Source organism: Homo sapiens, chromosome Y, assembly GCF_000001405.40.
Source record: "Homo sapiens chromosome Y, GRCh38.p14 Primary Assembly".
Classification (NCBI taxonomy): Eukaryota; Metazoa; Chordata; class Mammalia; order Primates; family Hominidae; genus Homo; species Homo sapiens.
The window spans coordinates 4,596,739-4,607,123 of NC_000024.10; the positions used below are offsets into that span (position 1 = coordinate 4,596,739).

General features: G+C 34.1%; 1 non-coding gene across 1 annotated transcript; it reads left to right on the forward strand.

Annotated features, from left to right (window-relative positions):
- The first annotated feature begins 9,381 nt into the window (after nucleotides 1–9,381).
- MIR9985 (microRNA 9985) lies at nucleotides 9,382–9,490 on the forward strand. The gene has a single exon (NR_162096.1). It is a non-coding gene; the product is annotated as a microRNA 9985 (primary transcript).
- The last annotated feature ends 895 nt before the right edge of the window (nucleotides 9,491–10,385 follow it).

Below are 10,385 nucleotides of genomic sequence, written 5' to 3' on the forward strand. Positions count from 1 at the left end.
GTATCTTGAAACTAAATTACCAACATGGTAGTATTAAGAGGTGCGGCCATTAGGAAGTGATGAAATTGAGGAAGGAAGTCTTCAGGGATTGGATTGGGGCTTTATAAAAAAGGCTTGAGGAATGGGTTCACTATCCTCTGCTTCTCTGCCATATGATAATACAATGTTCATCCCCTTGCTGTCCTTCCTATCCCTTCCATCATGTGAGGATATCTAGATGATGCCATGTGTAAGGAACAGGCCTTTACTAGAAACCAAATATACCAGTGTCTGGAGATTGGACTTTTCAGCTTCCAGAACTGTGAGGAAATAAATTTCTGTTCTTTATAAATTATCTAGTCTCAAGTGTTTTGTTATAGCAGCATGAACTGACAAGATAATATTCTTACACAAATTAATATAAAGCTAGATGGGTGGGACACATGAGAACAATTTACCAATAAGTAGTTTTAAATAAAATACTGAGAAAATGAATTCCTCAGTTAAATAAAAATAACATACAAAGATCTATGTGTGTGTATATATAATATCTATCCATATCTATATAAACTTGACTTTACATATACACAAGGAAAATATGTTGTAAGATTCCATGTGGAGTTGCATTTCAAGAAAATATTTAGTTTAAGCTAAGTTATAAAGAGCAATGTTAGATAACATACACATCTTATAATAGTCTGTAATCGTATTTCCTTTCATTACAGATAAAACTTGAAATTTGAGAAAGTATTATTGCAAAATGTGAAATATGCTAATGTGAAGGTGCCTGAATGAATTGTTCAAGAGCTGTCTTATTGGAAAAATAAATTTAACTACATCTTTATTAACTTAAGCATAGTATACTGAAATTTGCTTACAGCAGTCAACTCTGAGCAATTCTTCTGGCCAAAATGTAATGACAATGCTTTACTTCTATTATCTGAGATTGAAACAAATTCTGCCCATAATTTCTGGGTGATAAAAAGCTAAGAGTTTTAAAATTAAGCAGATTTCATTTGACAACTGAGCTGAAATTTTGAGTCAGCCCTAAACTCCAATCTGCTATGTCCTTTTCACTTTTGGTGACCTTTTACTATGCTTTAACTTTAGTGCCTTAACTTGGTAAAATTGAAAGAAGAACAAAATAAATGTTGTGAGAGAAACTTGATTTCTCTATATTATAATTTGATTGTAAAATAATCACATTAATGATTCTAAGTCCCTTAATAATTGATTTACTAGCAGATATATTATCAAGCAAACACTAGTTAATGTTACTTTGTCACATATAATTACAATGCAAATTAAACATACACAACGCATGCCCTCAAGGAATTTATATACCACAACAGACATAATCACAAAGATACACATAAATGTATATACATCATATGACCAAATTTATATTTTTGTGTTGAAATTATTAGTAATATAATAAATATACAAATCAAGTATTATTTCTATAATGTATAAGGTTATTAATTTTAACTAGCATAGTACCCATGTTATTTTTGTTTTGAGACACATGTATCATATATTACTGAAGTATAACAACATGAAACAGAGGACAGAACTATATTTTTGATACATTATATTCATAGCTTAAATGTAGCTTATTTTTTGGATGTATGCTTATTTATTTGAGAATCTATCTTTTTGTTCCAAGAAAGTAGTTTTGGACTCATGCTACAGCTCATCAATTAATTGCATGAATGTGATATGCAGTTTTTGTGCGCCTTAAAATTTAAATTATGCAGTATATATGTCAAATGATCTGCAAACTAAATATGAAAGCAATATTACATATAATTTAGGACAACTATAAGACACTTTTTATAGTGTGTTTTTTTAATATAAACTCTGTTAACAGGACTAACTAAAAATACCTAATCTTTGCTCTTCACAAAAATAATGTCAATTATGTCCTGTCCATGTCCAAATTCTATATATCACGTGTCACAAGAAAATTCAATATTCTTTAAAAAGTTACCCATAGATTGTGTCTATTATACACAAACAACTGTTGATGTCTGAATATTTTATTGCTATAATAATTGTGGATGCCTTTTAATACATTAAAATAAAATGTTTTAATATTAATTTAATGTTAATGTTAATGAAATGTTTTAATATTAATATTAATAAAATGTTTTAGTATTGATTTAATGTATTAATAATACATTAACAAAACAAAGATGCCTATTTTTGCCACTTCTATTCAACAAAGTAATGGAAGTTTTAGCTAGAACAATTAGGCCAAAAAAAGAAAAAAGACGAAATAAAAGACTTCCAAGTTGGAAAAGAAAAAGTAACTATTTTTTATTGAAGATGACATAACCCATATATAGATAACCCTAAAGATTCCCAAAAAAACTCTTAGAACTAATCAATTTAGCAAAATTGCAAGATAAAAAAATAACCCACAAATATCAGTGGCTATTCTATATACTACCAACAAAAAATCTGAGAAGAAAATCAAGACAACGCGTCATTTAAAATAGCATCAGAAATAATAAAACTACTTAGGAATAAACTTTAAAATAAGAGGTGAAAAACTTGTACACTCAAAACTAAAAATATTGCTGAATTAAATTGAAAAAGACACAAATAAATAGGAAGATATCTTGTGTTCATGGATTTAAAGACTTCATATTGTTAAGATGTTGCAGTACTACCCAAAGAAATGTGAGAATTAAATGAAATCCTTTTCAAAATCCCAGTAAAGATTTTGCAGAAATAGAAATATACATCTTAAAATTAATATGAAATTTCAAGGGATACCAAACAGCTAAAGCAATATTGAAAGAAAATTGGAGCTCTTATACTTTCTGATAGCAAATATATTACAAAACTAAAGCAATCAAAACAGTCTGGGACTGGCATAAAGAAAGATATATAGATCAATAGAATTGAACAGAGATTATAGAAAAAAATTGCATAATGTTCATATGATTTTTGACAAGGATGCCAAGACCCATTCAATGGGGAAAAAAGTGTTTTCAACAGATGTTGAGAAAACTGAGTATCTACATAAAAAAGAATAATAAAGTAGGGCCCTTACTTTATATATAAAAAAAATTAAAAATGTAAGAAAAACATATATTTAAACACTAAAACTATAAAACTTTAGAAGAACATATAAGGACATGATTTGTGACACTGGATTTGGTAATGATATCTTGAATGGCACATCAAAAGCATAGTAAACAAAAGGAAAAAAGGATGAATTAGGTTACATCAAAATTAAGTTTTTTGGCATCAAAGAGTACTATCAACAGAAGGAAAAGTCAATCCAGAGAATGGGAGAAAATATTTGCAAATTATATATAACATGTTAGTATCCAGAATATGTAAAGAACACCTAGAATTTAACAACTTAAAAACAACAACAACAAAAAAAACAAATTATAAAATGGGTAAAAGGCTTGAATAGACATTGAAGATACAAATGGCCAATAAGCACATAACATGTTTGATATCACTAATTATTAGGGAAATGCACATAAAAACCGTAATGAGATCACACATTACACCCATTATAATGATTATCTCCAAAACAAAAAAAAAAAAGAAAAAAAAACAAAAAACAGAAAATACTTGGAGAAATTGGAATACTTGTGCACTGCCATTAGAAATGTAATGTATTGCAGCTGCTGCAAAACACAGTTTGGTAGTTCTTCAAAAAATTAAGTATAGAATTACCATATGATGTAGTAATTCCACTTCTGGGTATATCAGCAAAAGAGTTGAAATCATGGACTCAATCAGATATTTGTACACCCATGTTCATAGCAGCAGTATTTACAAGAGTCAAAAGGTGGAAACAACCCAAATGTCCATTCACAGACTAATGAATACACAAAATGTGGTATATATGGTAGTTTCTCAGTATCTATGGGGGATTGGTTTTAGGGACTTTTGTGGATACCAAAATCCACTTATGGATGCCTAAGTCCCTAATATAAAATGATGTAGTATTTGCATTTAACATATGCACATGCTCTTTTGTATTTTTAATCATCTCTAGATTACTTATAATTCCCCATACAATGTAAGTGCAATGTAAATAATTGTTATATTCTACTGTTTAGAAAATAATGTCAAGGAAAAATTATTTTTACATGCTCAGTACAGAGGCATTTATCCATTTTTTCAAAATATTCTTGATCTATGGCAATTTGAACCTATGGATGCGGAACCCAAAAATATGGAGGGTCTAATATATGAACAATGCAATATTATTCAGCCTTGAAGAGGAAGACAGTTCTGACACATGCTACAACATGGATAAATCTTAAATACATTGCCTAAGACTTAGTGAGATAAGCTAGTCATAAAAGGACAAATACACTTATATTTGGTATAGAAGTACTAAAGTAGTCAAATTCATACAGACAGAAAGTAGAATGGTAGTTGCCAGGGGATGGGTGTAGGAGAAATGGGTAATTATTGTTTAATAGGTAAATTCTCAGTTTTTGAATGTAAAAAGTTCTAGAGGTAGATGGTGGTGATGTTTCCACAACAATGTACATTAACAAGATTTCCATTAACAATATAGTTAATGCCACTGAACTGTACACTTAAAAATGGTTAGAATGGGAAATTTTATATTAGCATATCTCACTACAATTTTTAAAAAGTAAATGACAAAAAATAAACGATTTCATGAAACAAATTATTGGTTAAGACAATTAGAGTTAATTTACAACATATTTATAGGTCAGGTTCTCAGATAAATGTACATATAGGCAGTTCTAATATATTAACATTTCCTTTCTCATTAATAGTCATTTATTGTTTATTGAGGCTATTTCTAAATATCAGGGCCCAAATACACTAGTAGTAATACTAATTCTTCATTTCTTTTACTATTTTACTAAGGGCCAGTCACTCTCTGAAGTGCTTAAAAGTACTAATCCTAATTATTTTTCAAAAGTAACCTGGGTAAGTATTATTATTATTTCTATTTTACAAATGAAGAAACTCAGGCAGAGAAAAGATAAATCATTTAAACACAGTCACACAGAGCGTAAATGGATTGATGATTTAAGACCAATGACTCTGCAGAACCTTTCCTCTTAACAACTCTGATATCTTATGTAGTCCTTTCATCATCCACATTGATAGGTACACTTACACTTCTTTTCCAAATAAACTGAGGTATTGGAGTTTAAATAACTTGTCTGAAATCATACATGTTCAGGATCTATATTCATGCGTATTTGACTCTGAAAACCTGGCTCTTAAATTACCAACAATACTACAATTCTCCAACTTGCAAAGAGTTTATTTATGTCTCACACAGCCCCAGGATGAACTCAAGACCACAGAATATCCCAGTTTTTAACCAGAGTATTGACCACAATGAAAATAAAGAAAAAATTTGAAAAATAAACGGTAGCGGTAGATCTCATAAGTAAATCAAATAATTTGTTCCTTAAATATAGATAGATACATCACTAACATGCCTAAAAATTTGAAAAAAGAAGAAAGCAAAAAATACGCACATGAAAAATATAAATGGGGAAGTGAACACTGATACAGAAGAAGAAAAAATGATATAATAACATAATTAATTCAAGTTTATAAAAATAATATCAAAGATGATATAGATGAAATACCTGATTTTTTTGGGAAATATAAAATGACAAAATTGTTTCTTTAAAAAGCTAGAAAATCTAAACAGACAAATTGTCATTGGAGAAAACAGTTTTGAAAAAGTAGTCAAAGAACTACTTAAAACTTATTAGTCATGGAATGTCTTTGTAGGTCAATTATCTTAAATCTTTAGAATACAGATGAATCCAGTATTATTTTAACTCTTTCTGTGATGGGCTGAATTGTGTGCCCCCAATATTCAGATGTTAAATCTCTAACACTCCATATCTCAGAATGTGACTATTCAGATGTAGCCCCTAAAGCTGTAATTAAGTCAAAATGAGGCCACTTGTGCGAAGCCTAATTTAATCTGACCAGTGTTCTTATACGAAGAGAAAATTTGCACACACAGAGTGACAGCAAGAAAATGTGGGCACAGATGAAAGATCATGTGAGGACACAGCAAGATGACAGCCATTGTCAGCCAAGGAGTGAGGACTTAGAAAAAAGTAAACTTGTAGATTCCTTGATCTTATACTTCTATCCCTCTAGAACTGTGAGAAATAAATTTATCTTGTTTAATCCATCCAACTCTTTGGTACGTTGCTATTGATACAGCTCCGATGAGTGGAGGAACACCAGGGCTCTTTTTTTTTTTTTTTTTTTTTTTTTTTTTGAGACGGAGTCTCGCTCTGTTGCCCAGGCTGGAGTGCAGTGGCGCGATCTCGGCTCACTGCAAGCTCCGCCTCCCGGGTTCACGCCATTCTCCTGCCTCAGCCTCCCGAGTAGCTGGGACTACAGGCGCCCGCCACTACACCCGGCTAATTTTTTGTATTTTTTTAGTAGAGACGGGGTTTCACCTTGTTAGCCAGGATGGTCTCGATCTCCTGACCTCATGATCCACCCGCCTCGGCCTCCCAAAGTGCTGGGATTACAGGCGTGAGCCACCGCGCCCGGCCCCCAGGGCTCTTGTTTCGTGGGAATTGGGTAAAATGACATGGACACCTGTGGAGTGATTTTAAGGAGTGGAGAGTTTAATAGGCAAGAAAGAAGGGAGAAGAAAGAAGGAAGAAGCTCCCCTGTACAGACAGAGGGAGGGGTTCCCAAAGCCAAGAGAGGAGACCCCATGTGCAACAGAAAAGTGGCTACTTATATGAGTAGGCTGGAGGAGGTGGTGTCTGATTTGCATAGGGCTCAGGGGATTGGTTTGACCAGGCATGTCATTCACATAGCCCATGAAAAAGCTGGCCCTTCCGCCCTAGCCTTTTATTATGCAAATGCAGTGCGCCATGATGTTCTACACATGGGGATATGTTGGGGAGGCCATGTTGCCAGACACATGTTGGGGCAAGGGCAAGAAGGCGACAGGAATTGCCATGTTTGGGCAGACCCAGTTTCTAATGGCCAGCATTTGCATATCAAAGGTGGCCAGCCTGACTCTAAGAACCAGTGCTTTCCTGCTAGACAAGAAACATTTCTGGAGCTGCTTTAAAAGAAACAACAACTTCCCAAGGACCTCTTTTCCTCTTTATCTGCCTAAGATAATTTCTTAATAACTCCTATAACATTATGACAACCTTAGCAAACTAACACAGTTGCAGAACACGAATAAAAAAAATTGCAAACATTTATTTTAAAGCTCACATAATATTGATAGCAAAACTGACATAGCAAATAGATAAAAAAGAAAAATGCAGTACAATTTCAGATGCAAAACCTTAAATAAAATATCAGCTAGAAAAGGTTTAGTCTTAGGTAAATATTTAACATACTTTATCATACTAATCAAAAGCCAGTAGATAAAAATCATAAAATGAGAAGAGTGATATTCAGCAAGATGGAGAGTTAGGAGCTGGTGCACTCATATCTCCTTATGACAACAATAATTTTGCAGGCATCCATGGACAAAAGTGCATTTGTGGAAACATTAGGACTGAGGTAGGAGGTTGTGAAACTCTGGTGGCACCTCGGACCTAGGAATGCCTTTTTAAGAGGCAAGACCCATGCCCCAGTGCTAGACTCAAAAACCATTGTCCTGATGCCAAACCTGGAAACAGCCTTATTTCCCTGTGGACTTGTCTACAGCACTATTTTACCTTGTTTCTGTGACCAAAACTATCTGCCAAAGGCCCAGGAGGAGTCATGCACACTAGTGTCACTGGGGAAGGCCTTCTGACTTCAGTTCCACGGTAGATACTAAAATGGTTTGCAAACTTAGCCCCAGTCCTTCTTACTGCAGTTTGAGAGCAGCTCTGCCTGAAGGAATGCATGCCTGTCCATGCCCCTGTAGCCAGGCCAGCTGGCATTGGCCCCACAGCAGATCCTGAGATAGCTCTGCAACTCAGCCCAGCCCCTCTAAGTTGCAGTTTGAGAGCAGTTCTTTCCACACTGCGGAGGGACCTAGAGAAAAATTCACTCAGCATTGCCTCTGTAGGCAAGCCTACTGACCTTGGCCCCACTGTGAATCTTAAAACAGCCCTGTAAATTGACTCCAGCTCATGTCAGCTATGGTCTGAGAACAGTCCTGCTTTCCCAGGAAGCCACTAGAATACAAATCCACTTCTGACACCAATGGCAGGCTTATAGGCCTCAGTCATGGCTACAGACTTGAACCAGTCCTGGACTCAGTTCAAAGCCCTTCCAGCCATGGTCTAGGGTCGGTATTATCTGTCTGAGGATTCTCAGAATTACCCAGCATAAGCCCTCCCAGAGACCTAGAAGAAGCAGTACCCGTTCATCACCTGGAAACAGGAAAACCATCTGCAGATTTTGAAGTAGATCCTTATTCCAGTGCCAGATCTGCTGACCAAAGACCTGGAGTCAGTCCAGTCCACTCAAAAAACATATAGGATTCATACTCCCTAGAGCCCCTGGTAACAGGCCCACTAAGTGCAAATTCCAATGCAAAACCAGCAGCAGTCACATGACCTGGTTCAAACACCACTTGGCCACAATCTTGGAGATAATCCAATAAGCACAGGAAATCAACAGGAGAAGGTCTTCATCTGCCAAAAGTAGTCTGTAAATACTGAAAGAAGTGTTTGCTCATTCAAATGCATAGAACAAATGGACCTAAGAGATATATATGGAACATTTTATCCAATAGCAGTAGCACAAATTTTTTTCTCAAGTATATATGGAATCTTCATCAGAATATATCATATTTTGGGCCACAAAACAACCTTTAACAAATTTAAGAATATTGTAATCATATCACATATCTTTTATGACCACTATGTTATAAAACTAGAAATCACCAATAGCAGAAATGTTGTAAAATTCAGAAATGTGTGAAAATTAAACAACTTGTTCCTAAACAACTGAGGGCCAAAAAATAAATTAAAAGCAAGTTTAAAACCATTATAAGAACACCAAAAATGGAAACATAACATACAAAAACTTAAAAGATTCGGCATAAGCAGTTCTAAGAGTAAAATTTGTAGCAATAAATGCCTTCATTAAGAAAAAAAAGATCTCAAATAACAGTCAAATTTTGCACCTCAAGAAAAAGAAGAACTTAGCTAAAAGGATAAAGAAGAAAATGTAAACATCAGAACAAAAATAAAATAGACACAAGAAAGACAATAGAAAAGATCAATAAAACCAAGAGTTGGTTTTTTGAAAAGAAGAAATCTGACAAACCTTTAGGTAGACTAACTGTATTAGTTCATTCTTGCATTGCTACAAAGAAATACCTGAGACTTGGTAATTTATAAAGGCAATACAATGAAATTATAGGCAATCCAATTTCTGGTTACATGCCCAAAAGAAATGAAATTAGTATGTCAAAGTGATATCTGGATTCCCATGTTCATTGAGCTTTATTCACAGTGGCTAAGCTATGGAATCCATCCAAGTGTTCACTGATGGATAAATGGATACAGAAAATGTTTATATATATATATATAATATTTCATATATATAATTTTTTTTTGACATGGGGTCTTGCTCTGTCACCCAGGCTGGAGTGCAATGGCACGATCTTGACTCACTGCAACCTCCACCTCCCAGGTTCAAGCGATTCTCCCGCCTCAGCCTCTTAAGTAGCTGGGATTACAGGTGTGCACCACCACGCAAAGCTAATTTTTTGTATTTTTAGTAGAGACAGGGTTTCACCATGTTGGCCAGGCTGGTCTTGAACTCCTGACCTTGTGATCTGCCCACCTCAGCCTCCCAAAGTGCTGGGATTACAGGCATGAGCCACCGCACCCCGCATATAATTTCATATATATATATGTGTGTGTGTGTGTTTATCACAATGTGTATGTATACAAACAATAAATATTATTCAGCTTAAAACAGGAAAAAGACATTTCATTTCTGACAGCATGGAGATATTATTGCTAAGTGCAACATGCTAGACACAGAAGAACCAATACTGTATGATCTCATTTATATGTGGAATCTAAAAAAGTGAAACACTTAGAGAGTGGAACTGTGTTTCCCAGGTGCTGGGGGTGGGGAAAATGTGGAGATATTGGTCAAATGGCACAAATTTCCAGTTATAAAATAAACAACTTCTAAGAATCTAATGTACAGCATGGGTGGTGAAGGATATTGTAATTAATTTCATTATGATAATCATTATTCAATATATACATATATCAGATTATCACACTGTACACCTTGAATATATACAATCTTCATTTGTCAATTAAATGTTTTTTTAAATTTAAAAACTTACAAACCCAAAAACACACAGTGTTCTTAAAAAATATCTGAAGATATTTTACAAAAGTCAAATTACAATGTAGTTCCAATTATGTTTTTCAAGATGGCTAACTCGGGCCATCTAATGCCTCTTCTCC